The sequence below is a fragment of the Homo sapiens genome, chromosome 8, assembly GCF_000001405.40.
Source record: "Homo sapiens chromosome 8, GRCh38.p14 Primary Assembly".
Lineage (NCBI taxonomy): Eukaryota > Metazoa > Chordata > Mammalia > Primates > Hominidae > Homo > Homo sapiens.
The window spans coordinates 95,218,189-95,241,644 of record NC_000008.11 but is presented as its reverse complement, the minus strand read 5'-3'; the positions used below and the strand labels follow the sequence as shown (position 1 = coordinate 95,241,644).

Below are 23,456 nucleotides of genomic sequence, written 5' to 3'. Positions count from 1 at the left end.
AAATCAATAGATATAACCCCAAAAAACCAAGCTCTTGGGGTTAAGAATGTAAAAGGGCCAAAAACATACACTAAGGAAAAGACAATAAATGATGCTGGGAAAACTGGATATCCCTCTGCAGAAGAATGAAACTAGACCTCTATCTCTTGCCCTATACAAAAATCAAACCAAAATGGATTAAAGATTTAAATGTAAGACCTCAAACTATGAAACTACTAAAAGAAAACATTGGGATACACTCCAGGACATTGGTCTGGGCAAATATTTCTTGAGCAATACCCCACAACCATAGGCAATCAAAGCAAACATAGACAAATGGGATCATATCAAATTAAAAAGTTTCTGCACAGCAAAGGAGACAACCAACAAAGCGAAGAGACAACCCACAGGATGGGAGAAAATATTTGCAAACTTTCCATCTTACAAAGGATTAATAACCAGAATATATAAGGAGCCCAAACAGTTCCATAGGAAAAAACTAATAATCCAATCAAAAATGGGCAAAAGATTTGAATGGACATTTCTTAAAAGAAGACATACAAATGACCAGTAGGCATATGAAAAAGTGCTTAACATCATTGATCGTCAGAGAAATGCAAATCAAAACTACAGCAAAATATCATCTTGTACCAGTTAAAATGGCTTGTATCCAAAAGACGGGTAATAACAAATGCTGGTGAGGATGTGAAGAAAAGGGAACCCTTGTACACTGTTGGTAGGAATGTAAATTAGTACAACCACTATGGAGAACAGCCTAGAAGTTCCTCAAAAAACTAAAAATTGAGCTACCATATGATCCAGCAATCCCACTGCTGGGTATGTACACAAAAGAAAGGAAATCAATATATTGAAGAGGTATCTGCACTCCTATGTTTGTTGCAGCTCTGTTTACAATAGAAGCAACCTAAGTGTTCGTCAACAGATGAATGGATAAAGAAAATGTGGTACATATACACACCGGAGTACTATTCAGCCATAAAAATGAATGAGACCCAGTCACTTGCAACAACATGGATGAAACTGGAGATGATTATGTTAAGTGAAATAAGCCAGACACAAACATCACATCTTCTCACTTATTTGTAGGATCTAAAAATCAAAACAAGGAACTCATGGACATAGAGAGTAGAAGGGTAGTTACCAGAGGGTGGGAAGGGTAGTGGGGACCTGGCAGGGTAGGTAAGATGGTTAATGGGTACAAAAAAAAATAGGAAGAATGAATAAGACCTACTATTTGATAGCACCACAGAGTGACTACAGTAAATACATAATTAATAATTAATTGTACATTTTTAAATAACTTACAGAGTATAATTGAGTTGCTTGTAACCCAAAGAATAAATGCTCGAGGGGATGGATACCCCATTCTCTATGATGTGCTTATTTCGCATTGCATCCCTGTATCAAAACATCTCATATACTCCCATAAATATATACACCTACTGTGTACCCACAAATATTTTTTTAAAAAATTTTAAGTGTAAAAAAGTTATGAGACGAAAAAGGTTGAGAACCGTTGTACACAATCCTGATTACCCTTCCTAGGCCACCCTACCGCAGCCTAAAGATGTAATTTCTCCCTCTCCCATCTGCTTTCAGACTTTGTTTCTCATATAATACCTTGAATTGTAATTATTTGTGTGCTTATTGTATTGATCTTGGAGATTAGATTTCAAGTTCTTTAAAGTCTCTGAGTGGTACAGGGGAAACTGGGAGAGTTTTGTCACTAACTTCCTGGGATCACTGTAAGTAAGCCAGAGTGTCTTTGGGCTCATCTGTGAAAAGAGGGTTGGATTATTAAGTTTTCTTTGTTTGTTTGTTTCTTTGTTTGTTTTGAGATGTAGTTTCACTCTTGTTGCCCAAGCCGGAGTACAATGGCATGATCTAGGCTCACTGCAACCTCCACCTGCCAGGTTCAAGCAATTCTCCTGCCTCAGCCTCCCGAGTAGCTGGGATTACAGGTACCCACCACCATGCCCAGCTTATTTTTGTATTTTTAGTAGAGACGGGGTTTCACCATGTTAGCTAGGCTGGTCTTGAACTCCTGACCTCAGATGATCTGCCTGCCTCGGCCCCCCAAAGTGCTGGGATTACAGGCATGAGCCACCATACCCGGCCTCTTAAGTTTTCTTATAACTTGCAGATGGTATGAGTACTGTTCCTCTAAAAGTAGCTTGGTGCACCTGGTGTTGTCCTGTCCACACATTGGGAGATGTGATGTGTGTGGTGGGGAAGATCCCAGATTCTGGGGTCAGAGAGACATGGGTTCCAAAAGGCATCATCTATCTTCTCTGAGGCTGCACTAGAGACATAGGTAGGATTGACTTAAGAATTCAGTCTGTCCCATACAGTCCCATGAGATACAAATTGAACTAATTGTAAGAAGCAGTTGAGAGAGAAAAATGACAAGCACTTTTTCCAAGTGTGGTACTGAGAGTTATTCTCTCTCCTCTCCCAGAAGGATTGTATACCCTCACCTGTTGAACTCAGGAGGAGAAGAATGACATCCCACTCTTTGACATCCCACTCTTTGAGAATGAAAGGACCTCAGGAAGACAGTCCCAAGAAAGCCATGTTCAGTTAAGGCAGGGTGAGGGCACGAGGAGCTCACTTACCATGAAGCGGGCATTCCAGAAGGCATTTATGGCGAATAATTTGGCCAGGAGGCAACAGTGGGGGGTGGTAGGGGAGGCAGGGGATGGCAAGAGATGAGGAAGAACGAGCAGTATTAGGGTGAGAGCCTGGAAGGAACTCATATTTTAACCAAAAAACAATAGGGATCAGAGCCCTGGGGGGATTCAGCAGCCTTGATCTAACAGCAACTGGTCTCTGCTAGAACAAGGCGGTTTCCTTGTGTGATGTAAGCTCAGGCTCTGGCCCTGGGTGGTAGCTCAGGCTCTGGCCCTGGGTGGTAACCCAGGCTGCAGGGCAGGGAGGGAGGTGGGGGAGAGGGATTGTCACGTTGTTTGCATCCAGTCCAGCAGCCTACATCCTTTGCTCTCACTTTTGAGTAGAATCAATTTAAACAGAATCCAATTTGTTAGGAGACTGCGAAGTTCATCTCTGGCTAGAGAAGTACACAATACCCAAGAAAAAAATGTGTCGAAGTATTGTGTCTTTGGAAGGCCATTTCCAGGCGCTCTGAGTACTTGGGAATGAGGCCTAAGCACTAACTCTTACCAAGTCTTTGTTCATAAGAACAAGTTAGTATCAGGGATTAAGGGGATTGTGTGGTTCAGATAGATTTAAAAAGCAGGAAAGACTGAGGGTCCAGGCTTCAGTTTTGCTGGAGATTAATGCCAGAGAAGAGACATGGAAGAAACTGAGGCACAAAAACTTGCCCAAAATCACACAGGTTGTAAATAGCAGAGTAGTGTTCAGACCTAGCTCAGTTGAGTCACACAGGGCTTTCACCCTGGTATTCCCCCATTGAGCCTTGACAGACCAATAGATGAATACACTGGACTGTGAGAATATACAATCACAGTGTTACCAGAATAATACTTTCAGATATTTTGTGTGATTTTATTTAGAGGAACCAAGATACAGTGCCTGACTGTAGCTGTGTCTCAGGTTGTCTTCCCAATGCTCATGGACAGGCAGCAGATGAACAGTATGAGAAGGCCAGGTTAGGCACAGCAGGAAACAGTTCAGTGACCCATGAGTCAAGTCTGCCATGGGCTCAGGGGTGCGGAATGAGAGACTGCCATGGGTTTGCTAACACTGGCAGTCTCGGGACTGGGGGCTGGGTTCTTGTCTAGCTCAGTGCTTCTCCACTCTGGCCTCAGATAGAGTCAGCTGGAGAGCTTTAAAAAGTGCCAGTAACCCAGGCTTTAGGCCCAGAAAATCTGATTCATTAGTCTGCAGTGAGACCCAAGCATCGGTACTTTTCAACAACTCTCCCAATTATTCTAGCGTAGTACAGCCAGGGTTACAATCCACTAACAGCAATAAGACCTTGGGCATATCACTTCCCTCTTTGGGCTTTAGTATCCTCACCTATTAAAAAACAATTCTCTAAGAGTCCTTACTGCCAGTATAAAAATATGAGGTTATACTAAGTGATTTTTAATGTCCCTCCCAGAATAAAAGTTCCATGAATCTCTTTTCATAATGTAATCATTCAGAAAAGATTATTTCATTTAGGTTGAGTGTGTATTATGATCAATGTTTCTTTTAGTCCCCTAGAAACAGTCAATGCCAACTTCAAGGTTTGAGTTCCCTAATGACCAATTCACTTTACACAGAAAAAAGTAACAGCCTCCAAAGGTTGACAATACCAATTCCTCCCACTAGGAGAAGTATCTTAGAGTGCGTGGCCCTCTAGAAAGTGAGTCACTGGCACCATCTTCCATTGCAAAGAGCAGCACTTATTAGCAATGTTAGATAGAAAGCAGGACTCTAGAAAGTGGATGGAAAAAATAAAGAAAGTACATAACATAGAAACCATTTTAAGTTCTTAGAGTCAAGTAAAATTGACATTCACAGGTATGTAGGAAAAATTGTAAAAGATCTCTCAAAGAATATAATGTTTTATCCTTACATAATTTTTTGAGGGATGGGGGATTAGACAAGAGTTTTCCCCATGGAGTAAGGTATATTCTATCATAAATAGCTATAGCCTCAGCCTCTGGTGGTGGAAGGACCCCACAAACGCTTTTCAAGTCCCTTCCATCTGGCCTTGGTTTTCCTCCACAGCTGACTATGCACTAAAGGACTTCTTTCCACTCTTTCCACTCAGATTTTAAGGAACAGTTTTAGGTATTGTATTCGGTTACTAGCACAAATTTATTCTGAAATAGCCTAGGTCCAGTGATAAATCAAGGGAGTGAGAAGGAAAGGATTTGCATGGCCCATGACCCTGCCCCCAACCTTGAAGGCACAGATAATGTGTGCACTCATGATGCTCAGCACCACGTCCTCGGCAAAGGAGCTCCAGGCCACTTCTTGCCTTTGCCCCTGTTAATAAGCAGAGTCTCACATTAACAGGCTGCTGCATTGTGTGAGGTTATGAGCACAGGCCTGGGGTTAGACTGCCTTGATTTGAATACTGGCCCTATACCTTATGTGGCATGTGATGTTCTACAGGCCACGCATCCTCCCTAAGCCTCTTCTCCCCAGCCTGTGCAACAGGGTTAAGAATGCTCACCTCACAGAGAGTGATGCTGGGAGGAAGTGGATGGGATAATCTATGTAGAGCATTTAGCGAGGCTCCTGGCACATAGTAATTACTTAATACGTGTGAATTATTTGCTGAGATCTCTGTACAATGTAAAAATGCATACCTTAAAGATGGCTTTCTGCCATGATTCTACATAGGTTTTTTCCTTCAACATTCTTCTTTTTTTGCCTTAAAATGTTTAATTCCCACCAACTTTCATCTTACAACAGGAGGCTCAAAGTGACAGATTTAAAGAGAGCCTTCAAAGCGAGGACCATTTCACTTAAATGCCCACCTGCACTGTGCTAGGCATGGCAGTGGACCCAGAGGTGCCAGACACCAGACAGGAGCAAGGGTTGGCAAAACATGGGTCATTTCCTAAGGCATTGTAATCATTGGTCTTTTACGTAAGGTGTCTTTGACTCTGCTCAGTACCAGACATCAAGTACTACAGGCATAGTCCGTGTGTTTAGGCTGTTTCACAACTGAGTGAAATTCAACAGTGGCCATCCCCCTGTTGCTCATCATTGATTGTAATGTGACCAAAATGGAAACTGCTAACCTATGTGTCAATGCTTGTGCTGGAAACATACTGCTTCCAGATAGGGGGAAAAAAGCAATTCAGTTAAACGTCTCTTTTATGGTCTATAATTCTTACTGCAACTTCAGGTCGGCTGTTGCGTCATCAAGTCACATTCTGAACCCAACTCTGGCTGTTTCTCAGGCCTGAGGGACCCAGCAAAGGAGGGAGGTCCTGAAGCAGCCTTTCCAGGGGTAGAGTTAGTGACTTACAGCGAAGAAGAAAGAGACAAATTTGTCTCCAGGGACTCAGGGTTGTAAAAGACCCACCATCCTGAGCCCTCCAAACAGTGAAACAAGTTGAGAATCTAACCCATAGCGGGCAGACCTACACTGAGGACCAGATCTCATTTCTTTGTTGGGCTTTGGTCTCTCAGGAAAAGCACCCAGAACACTTCATCCAAATCTGCCTGCTGTTAACAATATCCCATAGTGGTGGAGGTAAATGTTTTTCTCTGGCTGAAAATAGAAATCCTCCCTAGCGTAAACCCCCTGTCTTTGCTTTTAGGAGAAAAGGATAGGCACCAAATATTAGGATCTTTCCAGGGAAGTTTACCAGCCCTTTCTACACAGAAGCACTTGTCATCTTGAGCTTGTGAGCTTGAGCTTGAGCGTAAGCTTGTGGGCTTGAGCTTTCTTTCTGGGAAAGAAAAATTGGAACCTTCTAACTGATTCACTTAAATAATCAATTCCGTAGCACTTAAAGGAATCTAAGTGGATCTAAAGTTAAAGAGAAACAATGAAATGATTCCTCACTCACAATGAAAGGTTGAAAATCGAGGTAACGACCTTGGTGAGCAGAGAGAGGAAATCGCAAGGGCAAGTGGGTTAATGCTGATGGGCTTTTTGAGACCAGGAAACCATATCTTCATGACCTTTGAGCATGATTGTTCAGCACAAATATTTCCAGAGTACAGTGATTTGGTTTTGTTTTTAATAGTTGTTGCTTTTTTTGATGGACTGAAAAACAAAATGAAAAATTATTTCATGTTCTCACTTTTTTGTGCATTGAAATATAGTACATAAAAAGCAGAAATCCCTCCATTATCCCAAGAGAAAAACACTGCTCATTTAGTGTCTGTCCTTCCAGATTTGGGGATGAATGGATGGATAGATGATAGAGATATTTACTGAAATATTTTTCTTAACGAAAATGGGTCCTGTCCTGTATATTATCCTGCCATTTGCTTTTGTTTTACTAAACAGCATATCATGGCCGTCTTTCCTGGCCAATATACACATATTTCTTAGAATGGCTTTGTGGTATTCATGATGTGGGTGTTCCATGAGTTCTCTAACCCTTCTTCTGTTTATGGAGATCTTGGTTTCAGTATTCTCCTGTTATAAAAAATGCTTCAGGGAATATCTTTGTACATATATTGGTACACATGCTTGCTAGTATTTCCTTAGAAACAGATTATTAAAAGTGGTACTGCTAGGCAGAGATTATGCATTTCTAACAAGCTTCAAGGTGATGCCTGTTTGCTGTTCTGTGGACCATATTTTGAGCAGCAAGGCCATGGATGTAGTCTGCCCTGCAACAAATTCAACTAATCAGATCAGCATGCCGTAGAGGCCACATGTGGGCATTCTGGTGGATAGTGCCAGTGGAGCCCACTCTTGCCAACTTCAGTGAAGCCATCTTGGGCCCTCCAGACCTGCCAATCTGCCATGCAAACACCAGCAAGTGACTTCAGCTGATGTGGAGCAGAAGCATTGCTGCACCAGGCCTGTCTGGTTTCATGGTTCATAGAATTGTGAGATGTATAATAAAATGGTAGTTCTGTTAAAACCCCACCCCAAAAACACAGGGATTGCTTGGTCATAGAATTTGCATGTTTTTAATTCAGATGATATTGCCAAATTACCTTTTCACAAGATTGTGTCAATTGCTATTAGTACAACTATGGATAAGAGCGACTAATATTTTTCCTAAAGGCATGGAAAGAGTCTGTGTTTGTTGAGCATTATTGACTGTTTAAAATATATTTTATCATGAAATATTTGAAATATACAGGAAACCACAGGGAATAGGATAAAATAATGGTTCAAACATTTTTGTTGGTTCTTGAGTCAAATTTAATGGTAATTCTGGCTGGACACACTGGCTTATGCCCATAATCCCAGCGCTTTGAGAGGCCGAGACAGGAGGATGGCTTGAGGCCAGGAGTTGAAGACCCTAGGTAACATACTGAGACCCATTTCTACAAAAAATGTTTTAAAATTAGTCTGGCATAGTCCTAGCTATGCAGGAGGCCAAGGCAGGTGGATTGCTTGAGCCCAGGAGTTCAAGATTACAGTCAGCTATGATCAGGCTACTGTGTCTAACCTGGGTGGCAGAGCAAGACCCTGTCTCAACAACAACAACAACAAAAAGTAATTATTCTTGTTCAGAGAATTGTCCACATCATACTTCAGCTAAATAGTTAAACTGAGATTTCAGTCAAAATGTGTTTGACTGCAAAGCCCAAACTCATTTTGTTTGCCAACTTCCCTTCTTATATAATATGACTCATAGTGTAGATATACAGTATTTAGCAGATGTCTAAGACTTTGGGTCATGTTGCCTAAGTAGCTTCTGAAGATCACAGAACTAAAAAGAAAAAGAACAACATCTGGCCTATCCTCTGGCTGTCTCTTCATCTCTCCCTCCCATAGCTGAAGTATCTCAGCCCACTCCCTTTACCTTGCCACCCCCAAGGGCTGTAGACAAGTTTGTGAACCATCACCTTGCAATCAGGGAAGCCTTCTACCAAGGGCTTCTTGGAAGAAGGGGGTGGGACATGGGCAGGGAGGGAGAAAGTGGATTTGTCAATGAGATTCCTGTTGGCAGGGATTGAGAATGGGAGAAGGTCAGGGAAAATTAGGGAAATGAAAAATGTTTAAGAAATACAAAGTAAGAGGAGTCAATCGAGGTCATATTTCTAAAAGAAATAGGTGTGTGAATTATGACACTCTGGGCAAAGAGAGTTCAGGCCATCTAATGCCAGCCACCAGGTGATAGGTACACAGAGCTCCCAGCACACAGGCCCCTGGCATGGGAAGGCACCTGACATCCAAAGGCACTTTCTTCACCCAGGGCAGCTGAAGGGCAGGGGAAGTTGGTAGAGGTAGGAAGACGCATGCCAAAGCCCTGTGCTCAAGGTTCCAGAACACAGCCAAGTGCCTCCAGCGCCATTCCAGCTCCCCATTGGCTACCTGGACAGCCATGAGCCACACTCAAAGGAGGGCTCTGGGGCCAGCCATATCCCAACACAGCCTCCCAGGGAAGAAGAAAAGCCTGGGTTACCTTCACTTATTCTGGCTCCAAGTCAGTTATAAAGATCTCAAAACAAGGCCACAAAATTCTGATACTGTTTAAATTGCTACATTGAGTAAATATATTAACATAAAAATACAAGACATAATAACTATAGAATTACATATACCATATATATACTAGATAACAGATAAACTATATAGAGCTGTATAGAGTTTAATTTTGTTTTTTACAGTGCATTATAGGCGGTGGGTTCTGCAGGGCTTGGAAGGCATCTTTCTCCCCACTCTGTTCTCTCATCTGTGAACAGCTGCTGCTGTTCTTGCCCTACCATAAGGGCTGAATGCCAGGAGCTGACAGCTTTAAGTGATATGAGCATATTTCAGTGCTGTCACCGTATTTCTGTGCCTGTATTTATTGTCCCATTTGCAATAATATCACAACCTAGGCTGGGCGTGGGGGCTCACACCTGTAATCCCGGCACTTTGAGAGGCCGAGGCGGGCAGATCACTTGAGGTCAGGAGTCCGAGACCAGCCTGGCCAACATGGTGAAACCCCGTCTCTACCAAAAATACAAAAATTAGGCGGACGTGGTGGCGCACGTCTGTAATCCCAGCTACTCGGTAGGCTGAGGCACAAGAATCGCTTGAACCCAGGAGGCAGAGATTGCAGTGAGCCAAGATTGCGCCGCTGCACTCCAGCCTGGGTGACAGAATGAGACTCCATCTCGAAAAAAAAAAAAAAAAAATCTAAACCTGAAGACTTGGTGAACTCCTGCCTTTCCACCACTTAGCAGCCTCTGTGCCTATGGCCCATGCCTACCCTCCAGCCCCACAGACCAGCCTGGCTGCTCCACCATCACCCGCACCAGGTCTATGTCCTTCCAGCCATCCTCAAATGCTGCCATGCCCCCTTTGCTGCCTCCTGGCCACTGCCTGACAACCACAGAAGCTGTCACCACTTTGTTCCTAAGGTAAGGGAGGGCCCTTCCTTCCCTGTGAGAATCTGAGGAGAGTGAGTACAGCAGCCTTTCTAGGGTCATGGCCACCAGCACAGATTTTTCAGCTCTGCTGAAGTCCCTTGGCCAGTGAGGGAGTGCGCTGTGTCACAAGGGTGTCAGAAGGCCTGTAAGGGAGCCCCAGAGGGTGCAGGTGAGCAGGTCAGGAAGTACATTGGGCAGCTGCATGCTCAGCTAATTCATCACCTGCTCCTCTGCTTAACCTCCATGAGCCATATTTAAACACAGGAAGGAACTGTGAATGCCCCCAGTAAATGCTTTGACACTGAAGCTCTCTTCAGTGTTTAAGCTTACTGTGTTACGAAGGTACAGGTTGTGTTCCCTGGTAATAACTCTTATCTTTTCTGAACAAGAGTGGGGCTTTAGGACATGGAGAGTCGGGGAGAAGACAGCGACGTCGAATGAGAGCGGCACAGGTCGAAGGGACAGTAGACTAAGTAACTCATCCAGCCCCATCATTTTACAGATGAGTCCACAGGCTCAGAGCCCTCAATGGACATGCCTGCAGACACACAGCATTGGTATAAGAAACTTTTTAAAGGAATAAAAGAGTCTTGGAAGTTATCAAGTCCAGCCAGGGGTTGCTAGGCCCCTGAGAAAGTATCTTTGATGTCCTACCCCTCTGTTTAGCCTGCCTCATTCTTCTCTCTCAGCGACCTGCCCAGTCCAGGCCTCTCCAGATGGTCCCCTGGCTTCTGCATCCCTCTTTCACCTCCTTTTTCCTCAACCAAGACAAACCACTCCTGTCCAGTCTATCAGGGCCTCCCCACTGAAACCAGGTACCCCAGCTGAAAAACAAACCAGTAAATAAATGTCCTCCCCCACAGCTGGGAAGAGCTGCTAATGGCTTCTAGTGGTTCTGTACTCTCAAGGATGTTCTTTTATTAATTTAATTTTTGAAAAGCCAATACATGCATATGGCTCAAAATTCAAACACTATAAAAATTCCCATTCCTGTGCCTGCCTCATTGCATCGGGGCAATTCCCATCCCAACTCTCAGTAACTGTCTTTTATTAGTTTCTTGTGTATCGTTTCAGTGTTTCTTTATACTCATATAACCAAATACAGACATATTTACAGAGAATTCTTAAGTGTTCTCAGAACCATAAGCCAAAGGAATCTTGCTAACAATAGAACTTCAGGCACTTTGTAAATTTTATTGAGCAACAAGTCTTTCCCAGGGCCCCTTTTGTCACACCGTATAAGTGGCTACTTTCTTGTAGTTGGAGTTCCTTGCTCTGAAGAAAATTGGTTCCAACAGGACTTTGTAACAATGTCATCACCCAGAGAGAACCACAATCTGCATCTCATTTCCAGGTATGAAAGGGTGAAGGGGTGGTGTTGGAGAAGTCCTGAGACCCCTCTCTTTATTATTCATTCCTTTGTTGAATACTCCTAGGCACCAGGCATTGAGCCAGGTCCTGGAGACACAAATACAGCCCCTGTGCTCATGGCAGAAGGAAGACAACATAGGTCGAGGAGACTGTTCAGTTGTGACTCACCAGATCCAACTCAGGCAGGTCTATATTTAAAAAGAGAATTGATTGACTCCTGTAGCTGAAATGTACAAGGATAGATTTGACTTTAGGGACAGCTTGATTTAGAGCTTAAATGATGTCACTAGGAGCCATCTGGCTGTGCACCCTCTGGGCTGGTTCAATTCTCAGGCTACTCATGGTGGCCCAGGCAGCTTCAGCCTCACATCACCACTGTAGACCATGGAAGTAAGTCAGGATCTCAAGAATTCAAACCAAAATTCAGGGACCAAGTGTCCTTAGCCCTGATTGGCTTATTTAGATCACCTGCCTATTTCTGAACCAATCACTGAAGCCAAGGGGCATGGATTCTCCTGATTGGTCTAGCCTTGGTCACATGGCCCACTCTTGGCTCCTAGGAGTCGGGTCAACTTTACCCAACGCACACAGGTTGACAGTGGAGGAGGTGTGGTACCTCAAAATAAAACCAGGGTACTATAGCCACACACCAAATAAAGAGAGAGGCTGCCAGGCCACAAAAATAGGTGCTGTCCCCCGCACCCATGTAATTACAAGTGAAGTGAATGTTTCAGAAGGGGAACTGCAAGGTGCCCTGGGAGGCCTGACCTGGGATGAGGCATTGGGAGTTTTCCCTGAGGAAGGAGCGGGCATCACCAAGTGAAGGTTGTTGGTTTATTCTTGGACAAGGTGACTCCAGCTGTCATGGGAAGGCCCAGAGGCAGGAGGAAACAGAGTCCTTCCAAGGAACTTAGAGCTTCACTGTGACTGGAGCTCGGAGAGCAGGGAATGGGGAGTGATGGAGTAATAGAGAGCAGAGGAAGTGACACAGGCGAGGTGGGAAGCCTGGATGCCCTGCGCCTTTCATCCCCACCACCTTTAACCCCAGCCAGGTTCCACTGCCGAGCTCCACACATAACGGGTTCCCCTGTGGGCTGCGTGTTCAGGCCTGTCTTCAGGCACCGTAGCTGGAAGCCAAGTGAAGATCAAATCTGACCAGGCCGTGTCTCTGCGTCTCTGCTTAAAATATGAACGAAGTTCCAGGTTCTCAGCATGGCCATCAATGCCCTGCCCACACTCCAGCCTCCTATCTCCCTGCCTTATCTTCTCCCTGCTCTGCAGGCCCCACGCCCCAAGGCCTCCTAGTGTTGCTCATCACTAAAGCCACAATTACTAAGGACATCCTCGGGAAGAAAGAGGGCTGAGGGGAGCTGGACTCTAGCCACAGGGTGCATGTTTCTTCTTAACAGAGCAGGTGGAAGAAGGCTGGCCAGGGGACGTGGGCCAGGTGTGGACATCAGCTGTGGGCCTGTTCTTAGGACTCGGTCTCAGGCACAGCATCAGGCCTCCTGGCTCATCTCAATGTACTCACAGAGGCCCCCTTGCCACTGGATGCCCATCATGGGAGCTGAGATCAGGGCAAGGGCTTTCACAGGGCAGAGATCACGGGCCAGAGAAGCCTGTGCTCTGTCTCTAGGCTCAGAAATCTGCCAAATGCTGATCCAGACTCAAACTTGGGACTCCTGGGGAAATTTTTCTTGACTTATTTGGAAGGATCCATGAGAAATGCAACTCCAGCAGAGTCACATATATAAGAAGGTGAAAAAAGCAAGACGAGAGGCTCAGAATTACATTTACTACCTAGTACCTCACCTTAGATTCTGGGCAGAACTTTCTCCCACTTCCTCTCTATGGTTTCTGATCTCTTTCTGACTTATTTTTAAGCTGCCCAGTTTACATATGTGGTTTTTTTTGTCTTGTTTCATTTTTTGAGATGGGGTCTCGCTCTGCCGCCCAGGCTGGAGTGCAGTGGTGCAATCTTGGCTTACTGCAACCTCTGCCTCCAGGGTTCAGGTAATTCTCCTGCCTCAGCCTCCCAAGTAGCTGGGATTACAGGCACCCACCACCACGCCCAGCTAGTTTTTGTATTTTTTTAGTAGAGACGGGATTTCACCATGTTGGCCAGGCTGGTCATGAACCCCTGACCTCAAGTGATCCTCCCGCCTTGGCCTCCCAAAGTGCTGGGATTATAGGTGTGAGCCAGCACACTCGGCCTACATATGGGTTTTTAATTAAAGTTGCTTCCATTACTTTCTTGAAGCAGATAAATAAATAAATAAGATGATGAAAGTGGTGTTTTTTAATTCCACAGAGGCACCATAGGTGTAAAATAATGTGTTATGGATCAACTCCAGGTCCTCAAATGTTTTAAAGCATTTCCTTTATATCTAGTCCATCAGAGGGGATCACAGCCATCACCAGTGGACCTTTAGCTTCCTCTGTTTAATCAGTTTCTCATGAATGCACAATATACAATTTCCTCCTGACAGCCCAACAAGTGTAACTACAGCTGCAAGTGCACATCTGTGTTTAGCTAACAAACCAGCCGGGCTCATGCCAATCATCTCTTTTATGCAAGAAGACCAAAAAAGTAAATAAAGCTTCACAGGGGTCCCAGTGTCCTCTTGAATGTGGTTTATGTGCAGTAATTATCATCTGCATTCTTTCATTCGTCAGCTAGAAAATTATGTTCCTCCAGATCTTCTCTTAGAATCTGACCTTAGAGATCAACCACTGCAACCCCTGGTAGCCAAATCTCTGACTGCAGCTCAGGACTCTTTCTTGTTACACAGCTCCTCCTTCGTTTCTGCACAATTCAGTAAATCTCAGTTTTGTATTTCTTGACATTAGAATTATGTGAAGCCAGCACAGTGCTTCTTACCTGCAAAAGCCAATGGCTAACAGAAAACTGTGGGAAGGCATCCCAGTTGAAGGCAAGGCCTGTGTGGGATCTAGACCCCAGCAGTGCAGGCAGCCACTTGACTGGGACATCAGCCTTACTCCTCAACATCCATCTGCATGTTTTCCTCTTTTCTGCAGAGTATCTCTGAGCACATAATGGAGATGGTTACAAGCTCTATAAAGCAAGACTTAATCTGTCTAAACGTCTGTGTGACCGTTGTTTCTTAAAGGCTGAACTGAACCCTTTCTTCCCCACCTCCCACCTTCCACTGGAGCCAAGCAGGAATGGAGTGATACGGTGGGAGAAGGTGGGTCTGGGCCCTGCATCCAGCTGCCTGCCCAGAGCAAGTTCCCCTCACTGACAATCCCAGGTACCTGCTAAGCCCTTTTTCAAACTCTTGACTTCAAGTGATCCTCCCACCTCGGCCTCCCAGATTGCTAGGATTACAGGCATGAGCCACCGCGCCCAGCCCCCACTAAGCCTTATTTCAACAGGCCTGGCCCCCACTAAGCCCTTTTTCAACAGAGAAACTGAGTCACAGCAAATAGCCTAACAGCCACCATCCACACATGGAGATCATGTCTGAAATAGCTATCCTGCTAAGCCTGGGATCACTTAAGATCTCCTTAAAAGCAAGCCCTGGGTGCCTCATCTCCCTCACACCAAGCAGTCTCCAAGGTGTTTTGCTAGATAAAAGGCCATCTCCTCCTGAGAGAATCATGTCGTCCCCTGCCCTCACCCCCAGCAGAAGCAGCAGTTCCTCTGATCATATGTGGCTGTGTATCAGCAGTTTCTCCTACACTTCAAGAAGAATCATGATGCAACAGTGAGCTGCAGGCATGGAGGTGAGGAAGGCTGGACAAAGCCAAACCCATGAGAAGGGCATTACCTGGGCCCTGACGGAGGGGAGAGGAGCCCTGGGGTGGAGTGGGGCTGGGGGAGGAAAGTGTCTGGAGCCCTGTGCTCACCATGTGGTCCTGCAGAGCAGCCAGGGCATCACCTGGAAGCTCATCAATCATGCAGACCCTCAGGTCCCACCCAGGCCTCCTGGATCAGGTTGTGCATCCTCCAGATCCCTAGGTGATTTGGTTATAAAGTTTGAGAAACACTGAGTCTGCAGGACTCCATGATCATTAGATCAGGGGAGAGAGTCTCTAGGTCCTTTCTTTGAACCTTCCCACACAGCAACTGTGAATAATAAATGCCAGGCACAAAGCTCTTCACTGTGTTAAGTAAGAAAATGCATGTTTTCTTATTTAATTCTGGTAACATGCCTGGGAAGTGGGCCTTATTACTCCCATTTGACAGATGAAGGAAAGAGGCTTGAAGAGGTTAAATAACTTACGCCAGGTCAAAAATTGAAGGAGCTGGGATTTCATCCTGGGGGCTGCTTGACCTCTACACCTACCACTATGATGCAAGAATTACGGCTTTTTTGCTCTGGGTGCTGCAAGCCTTAAAATAAAGCTCCAAGCAAAACATACCCCTCTCTAAACCAGAGCTGGAACTCACTTTAGGAATCTGGGCTGAGGCTCCTTGGGGCCTCCCTGCAGGGGTGGGAGGGACAGAAGGGGCCAGGCAGGGCTCCAAGCTGCTCCCATGAAACAGAGCTGGGCACAAAGTCCCAGCAACAGAGGCCCTGTCCAGGCTTGTCCTTCAGCTGAAAGCTCACTTGGAACAAAACAGAGTCCTCTGGGCCTCGGTGTGACTCAGCGGCTTCTAGGGCAGGGGACCTTGCCACAGATCGCATTGCTGTGGCCTCTCCTCTGGAAGCTGCCTGGCCTGCAGCTTCACCTAGCTACAGCCCCCAGGCCAAGCCCCAGGAAGTTTATCTCCAAGATCTCTCTCCAGAAATGTCATTTCCAGCTGCTTTCTCTGAATCCAGTGCTAATGTCTCCTCCGTGAAGTCTGCTCAACTGCCCCAGGCAAATCCAAAGGCTCTAGGCTCTGTGCTCCCATCAAATGAGGCACATTCATTTCTGCACACATTACTTAGGCGTATATTATTGCCCAGTAACCATACAGGTTGTGATTACATACTTTATCTCATTTAATCCTTGAGCTATGAGATAGGTACTACTATTCCCATTTCACAGCTATGAAAATTTAGGCTAGTGGGTTTTGAAGCTAGAATTTAAACCTGGAGTCCTAATTCCAAATCCAATACTTCTTAACCACACAAGTGCAACATTTTTCATAGATTTAGTATAGGACTTATATTATGCAAGTGTGTCTTTACCACTAAGCTGCACCACCTTCCGGGGTCCCCATCATATCTTATTCATTTGTGTTTCCCAATGCAAAGTACAGTACCTACGATAGAATCTATGCTGAATAGACTAGGTTGAACTGAATTATTCAGCAAACAGTTACCAAAAGAGTGTGTGCTGGACCATTTGCAAGGCACAAGGACCATAAAGATGAAAAGATTACCCCCCACCACCACATCCCCCACCCCACCAGCAAAAAACACCCCTGCATAAGACATAAGGACATTGCTATTTATTTAGGTTCTTCTAGCAATGGAAGATGAACAGAGTGTGCTGGAGGCCTCAGGAAGGAGCACTGGAGTCTGCATACAGGAAAGGGCAGGTGGGGGAAGCGGCCACCACAGCAGATGCAGAGCCTGAGCAAGACAACACAAGAGAGAAATCTGCCATGTGGGCAAGCAGGACAGGACATTTCCAGGGAAGAGCAGAGGCTACAACACAGAGGTGTGAGAGAGCCTGGTTTTCCTAGGACTTTAAGGGAATAATAAATAGCACTGTGGAGGGAGTGGGTTTCCTAATGAGTGACCCATATATTGAACTCCTTCTACCCAAAACTAGGGCCATTCCTACCCAAAGCAGAGCCCACCCCAATCCATGAACGTTGGAAAACAGACCTGAATGCATTTTGCTTCAAGACAAGAAAGGGTCGATGCCCAGCTGAGTGTGTTCTGTTTCTTTTCCCAGGTCACAAAGAGCCCACCCCAGCCCCAGGAGAACTGAGAAGGGGTCTGTAAGAAGCTCTAAGTATCTCTTCTTTACAGTTCCCTCTGGTAATCTGAAATTCCCTCCAGTCTATAGAAAGACAGATGCTGGGAATCAGTGTCCCCCACCCCAACCCAAACCCAGCAGGGTTCAGGAACTATTAGCTGTCCAGAATCACTGCTCATGAAGTGCTGCAGGGAGTGGCCAGAGGCTGGCAGGTAGCCTGGGCCATGCCAACATGGCCTTATCTGCTGTATGTCATCTCCCAAAGGTGATGGGAGCTACTGAAGAACGTTGAGGAGGAGGTGACACCGGGAAGGTCACTCTGAACCATGGAGGGTTAGGAGCAGAGAGGAGGGCACAATGAGGCAAAAGTGCCTGTAAGGAGTTTCCCCTGTAAGGATTCACCCCAAAACTCTGGCTAGGGCAGCAAGGATGGAAAAAAAGAGAGGGACTCAAGAGATGTTTAGGAGGTGACACATAGGGCCTTATGATTAACTACATATGACAGACAAAAGGAAAGACGGATTCAAGCTTGACCCAGGGTTCCAGCCTGGGCAGCTGGCTGGCTGGTGGTGTCATTCTGGAGGCTGAGAACAAGAGAGAGAGAAGTTTGCAGAAGAGAGGAGCTCACTTTGGGTTTGAGGTCTGGGATATCTAAGGCAAGACGCCCAAGAGGTATGGATATCAGGAAAGAAAGCCAGTCTGGAGAGAGAGATTGGGAGTCAGCCGACTATAAGAAGGCACATTTCCTAGGCAACAGGAGCCTGGAGTCAAAAATAGCATGACAGTGAGTCACCCAGGACAGCCTTTCTCTGCCTCTGCCTCCTCCCACTATTAGGGAACTCCAGCCCCTCTCAACATATTCCAGGGAATCCTGGCAAACCCTGGTATATGTGGGGGCAGGTGGGGGGGAACAGGAGGTTACATAAACTTACTTCTTGTACTAGACTTCTGTGCCACCTGGTATCCATGGTTCCCCCTTCCCTGCTCCTGCTCACTATGGTGGCGTCCTGGACCACCCAAGACTCAGAGCCATGCCTAGGTCCAGATGCTCATTCCAGGAGCCACCACAGTTTCCCTGTCTCACTGGGACCAAAGTACCCACTGTCAAGGGCATTGCTGTCTGCATTGAAAAGGAACAAATGCACAAAAAGCATGTGAGGTATGACCACAATTAGAAGTAGCTTCACTGGAAACCAACAGGACCCAGCCCAACCCTAGTCCCTCACCAGCCAAGCCTTTTCTAGGTCCTGGTCTGCCTCTAGATCAGGGCTAATTCATTCAGCCTCCACCCCCACCATCACCAACAACACCAACGCTACCATCACCAGGAAGGTCCCCAGCATCTCTGCCCCAGTCCCCACTGACACCCTGGCCCCTATCCAAGCATGCCTCTCCTACTTCAGGGTTAGCATCTTTCCACAATGATAGACATTGGGAACATCCCTTTGCTACAAGGAAAAAAGACCCTAATCCCACACTGTGCAATCTGAAGGCATAGCCCAAGTAGACAATAACACCCACCATCTGGATTACTCCGTCTTAAATAGCATCATCTGTGGGTCCACCATGAGCAAATTTTGTTTGTACTACTCTTGAAAAGGTAGCAGATTCTAGTCTCTTCTTACTACTTCCATTGCTCCCAGCCCAGACCCAGCCACCATTTTCTCTTGCCTGGATTATTGTCATAGGTCTTCCTGTTTCTGCCCTTTGGTATATTCTTAACACAGTGAGCCTTTTAAAACATCACTCAGAACACATCACTCCTCTGCTCAGAACCCTCCCTAGTCTTCCTGCCTCAGAGTAAAACCCAAGTTTTTACAAAGCCCTAAGTTATCAGCCCTAATACCCCCACCCTACACGCACACACACACACACACACACCCCTCCACCACTATTGGCCTGACCTTATCTTGGGGCCCTCCTGATTCACTCTGCTTCCTTCAGTTCTCAAGCAAAGAATTTTTGCTGTTCTCTCAGGACTGTTATAAAAAATCTTTTTAAACAAATTTAGTTGAAAGATCTACTTGGCTTTTATTAGCAATTCATGAATTGGGCAGCATACTGTCTACAGATTTAGAACAGGTACTCTGATGCACTGAGGTGGGGGGGCGGGGCTTACAGGCAGAAGAGGGCTGAAGAAGTAGAAATGGAGGACAAAGCGGGATGCTCGTTTCGAAGTGACTTTCCTGACAGTGTTAAAACACAGGGGTTTTCCTTATCATGCCGGCTCAGGTAAGCTGGTGCCCTTCTGATTATTTTCCTTTTTTTTTGGAAAATTGGCCCATTTTAAAGTTAAGTTTAATTATATGGCAAGCACAAGTGGCTCCATTCTGGCTTGGTCTGGTCTGTCGGACCCAGCACAAAAGCTCAGTCCAAAGCAATGGCCTCCCATAAGCTTCATTAAACCTGCTGTCCCTCAACCTGGAATACTCTCCACGCGCATGGTCACACACCAGCCCTTCAGTCTCTGCTCAAATGTCACCATCTCAGTGACTGCCCTATTGCAAATGTCAACATGCACACACACACACTGCACACACACACAGACACACACACACTCTTCCTATCGCTTCACCCTGCTTTTTGTCCTCAGCATTTCTTGCAATGTGGTCTTACTTATCTTGTGTCTGTCTGCCTCCATGAAGACCAGAATTGTGTCTGTTTTGTTCCCTGCCATACCCCCAGTTTCTAGAAGAGTGCTTATTAATGTGTGTAGAGTTAAATATGTTGATTGGTTGTCATTGAGGAGGCAAAACCACAGCTGGTTCTTTTCCGGGACACTGCTAGTTCCCATACAAATAGACCTGGGGTAGTCCGTTCACCAGGTCCCCAGACATGCCCAGAACTGCCTGAGGCCTGGCAAGCTCAGCTCCGCTCAAACCAGAAAGCTCTGCTGGGGGTAGGCAGCAGCCGACATCCTGGGTTTGAAAGATCACTGTGGGGAGGAAGATGGGCCCTGCGAAGAGAAGAGCCATGGGCTGCGGGAACGCTGGGAAAACAGCATTCCCAACACACCCAGATGAAAGGGGCTGGCCTGGGAGACAGCAGAGTGGAGAAACAGTCCTGCCAGGAAAACTAGAGGAGCAGAGGATTGCCAAGGGGTGGGGTGTGGCTGATGGTGTCTCCTGCCCCAGGGGAGTCTGTAAGTAGAGCCCCGGAAAGCCCACCTAAGTAGGAGCCTTTGCCCAGTTTCCAGGAAATCGTGAGAGCAGAAGCCAGAGAGGAAAGGGTGGGAGCCCAAATGGGGTGGAGAAGTGGATAAAGGGAGTGTAGACAACTTTCTCAACAAACTTTGCTGCAAAACAATCTATATAGGCCAAGAGATCGCAATACGTGGAGGACTTTTGTAATTTGGAAGAGATCTTCATATTCGTTTCCAGGGAGGAAGAAGCCGATGAAGAAGAGATTGAAGGCACAGGCGATGGAAGGATACTCCAAGGAGTAATCCAGAGAAGGCAGGAGGCTCTCTGCGTGTGGGCAGTTCAGTTTTAGCTCGGCAAGGGGACCACCCTTCCTCAGAGAAGGGGGCAGGGAGGAGAACGCAAGCAGAGAAGCTCGCTGGTGACAGGGCAGGAAGTGGAGGCGGCCACACCTGAGGACATCTCTTCCAAAAAACAGGAAGCAGTCATGGCTGGGAGGCAGGGAGGCTTGCGGAAAGTGCTAGGGTCTGAAAGGGCTGAGAAGGGAAATGGGACAAGGAGCTAACAAAGTCCATGCGAGAGGCTTTGGGAGCAGCATCTCCCAAAATGAAGCAACAACAAAACATGTAACTTCTCTTTGGGATGCAGCTGCTGTCTGAGGCTGCATAGTCTGCGCAGCAGAGGAGCGGGACTCAGCGGCTGAGGTGGAGGCAAGGGCTGGCTCAGCCAGGAGCAGGAGGAGCAGGGAGTATGTGCACAAGGACGGGAGACCATGAGGCTGGCAGGCAGTGGGGCAGAAACAGAAGTGCATTGAGGATGGGCTCTTTTACTTGGTAAGTGGGGAGGAGACCAGGAACTCAAGATCCCCGGGAGATCCTAGAAGAGGTTTCGTGAGAGAGAAGGGCAAGCAGGAAGGATAACAGTTCGGTGAGCTGGATACTTCCAAGTTGGGATGACAAGCTCCCTGCTGTGGCCTTGAGGATGGAGGCTGGATGGAGGGAGAGCTTGGATGGAGGCATCGAGAGATGGTTGATGCAGTGCTGAGGACTCCCAAGATGATGGCACAGTTTGAGGGAAATGGGCAATGAAGTCCTCGGAGCTTGTGAGGGGATACCTAAGATGTGTGGAGGCCAGTAATGAGGGTGATGTGGGAGAGACTGAGACCTCCCTCCCATATCCATCAGCCTCTTCTTCCTTAGCAAGAAGAGGTTTTTTAGCCAGAGCCATTGCATCCAGACTTTTTAAGATCACATTGCTCATCCTAGCTGGTCAGCGGGAGTGGCTGTGTCCCTGCTCTAGGGTGCTCTGGAAGCCCTTCCTGTTCCCTTCCCTCCGTGGCCGACCTGGAGCTCTGACATGGTGGCTGAGGTGTGGGCTGCATCCTGGGCCATAAGACGAGGCTCCCACCTTAAGAATGGGAGAACCATGAGTGGGAAGAAGCGTGGGTCCCCGAAGACTTCATGAAGCTAAATTACCTGCTCGGGACAGTCTGCTTCAGAGACTTCTTTAACTTAAAAAATAAAATCTCGAGTGTTTGAGATACTGTTATTTTGGGTTTTCTGTCAGCAAATGAACTAATTCTAAGCATGACAGATGGTCGAGGAGGAAGGCACAGATCTCAGTGGAGAAGCGTTTTCTAGAGGAGAGTGAACACATATTTGCCTGTAAACAGCAGTAAGAAGCTTCAAGAACACCAACAGTGGGTTCCAGGCCTTAGGTAAATGGGGGGCAGGAGAATGAGCAGCCTCCACTCGCAAGGGCTGTCACCCATTGTGTCCTCAGCTCCAGTGAGAAGGAGGAGAGGGCCCCAGCCATGGGGAACTCCTGTCAATGGAACAAGCTTCCTAGAAGGCAAAGCCGAAAGCCTTAAGAGCCAGGCAGTGCTGTAGTAGGAAGAGTTGGGAGCTGTGGAGTCAGAGTACTGTGTGGCTGAGTATAAGAAGGGTCCATATTGGATACAAAGGTCAAAAATGAGGCCCAGGGTCTCACCAGACCCAAAATTTCCCAAGAGAGTTTAGCCATTTCCTGCTGTGATTGTCAGGCTGAAGCCGACTCCGGTTCCTTCCTGCAGCTGACTCCTGAGGGCAGGAGGGGGAGCTGGCCAGGGCTAGAAGGGCAGGGAGAGAGGACGTCCCCTCCTGCAGTGAGGGCCAGCATGCCGGGGATTAGGCAGGGGAGCAGCCCAGAGCTGAGAGCTCTTGAGCCTGGGACAGCCATATCCTTTCCAGGGGTCATGATCTTAGTCTCAGGTTTCCCATTTTCTTTCCTCAAGGATATTAGTCTTGTTTTTCTAACCTAATTTCCATAGTAACTTCAGAGGACCCTACTGTATGTTTCTATTTTGAAGCGCAGATCCTATTTAAGCATTGGAAATGTAGATTCTGGACAAGCATGTGGGCCTTGAAGAGGGACTTTGTTTTTGTTTTTGTTTTTATTTTTGTTTGAGACAGAGTCTCGCTCTGTCACCCAGGCTGGAGTGCCGTGGCACAATCTCAGCTCACTGCAACCTCCACCTTCCTGGTTCAAGCGACTCTCCCACCTCAGCCTCTAGAGTAGCTGGGATTACAGGCACATGTCACCATGTCCAGGTAATTTTGTACTTTTAGTAGAGTCAGGGTTTCAACATGTTGGCCAGGCTGGTCTCGAACTCCTAACCTCAGGTGATCCACCCTCCTCGGCTTCCCAAAGTCCTGGGATACAGGCATGAGCCACCACACCCACCAAAGAGGGACATTTTATAGGAGGCAACCTGCCAGGAGGACTGCAGTGCAAAACTGGTCTGAGGAAGACCTGCCTACTCAGGCACGGTGGTGGGAAAGGAATTTAAGACTAAAATAGAAAGGGGCAGCTCCAGAGATCAAAGGCTAACAAGAAGACAAGATTCTCTTTCACTAAGTGAAACGCAGGGGCCACATGTGAAAAGGGAGCCAGGTTCCTGAAGAGGTCCTAAGCCTGGAGGAGCTGGGCAGGCCTGCAGTTACCCTAACCAGTTTCACAGTGCAGACCACAACCTGCTTATAGGAACCCAATGTCAGTGTGGGTGGATTAATAATCAGGAATTCTTGCTGTTGGCACACACTCTTG

General features: G+C 46.6%; 2 annotated features.

The window, feature by feature from the left end:
* Positions 12,723–12,842: an enhancer, noted in NCBI's record as "active region_27654". NCBI's record gives its function as "activates an Ori minimal core promoter by ATAC-STARR-seq in GM12878 lymphoblastoid cells {active_cell/tissue: GM12878}" and the evidence as "EXISTENCE:reporter gene assay evidence [ECO:0000049][PMID:35858748]".
* Positions 12,963–13,102: an enhancer, noted in NCBI's record as "active region_27653". NCBI's record gives its function as "activates an Ori minimal core promoter by ATAC-STARR-seq in GM12878 lymphoblastoid cells {active_cell/tissue: GM12878}" and the evidence as "EXISTENCE:reporter gene assay evidence [ECO:0000049][PMID:35858748]".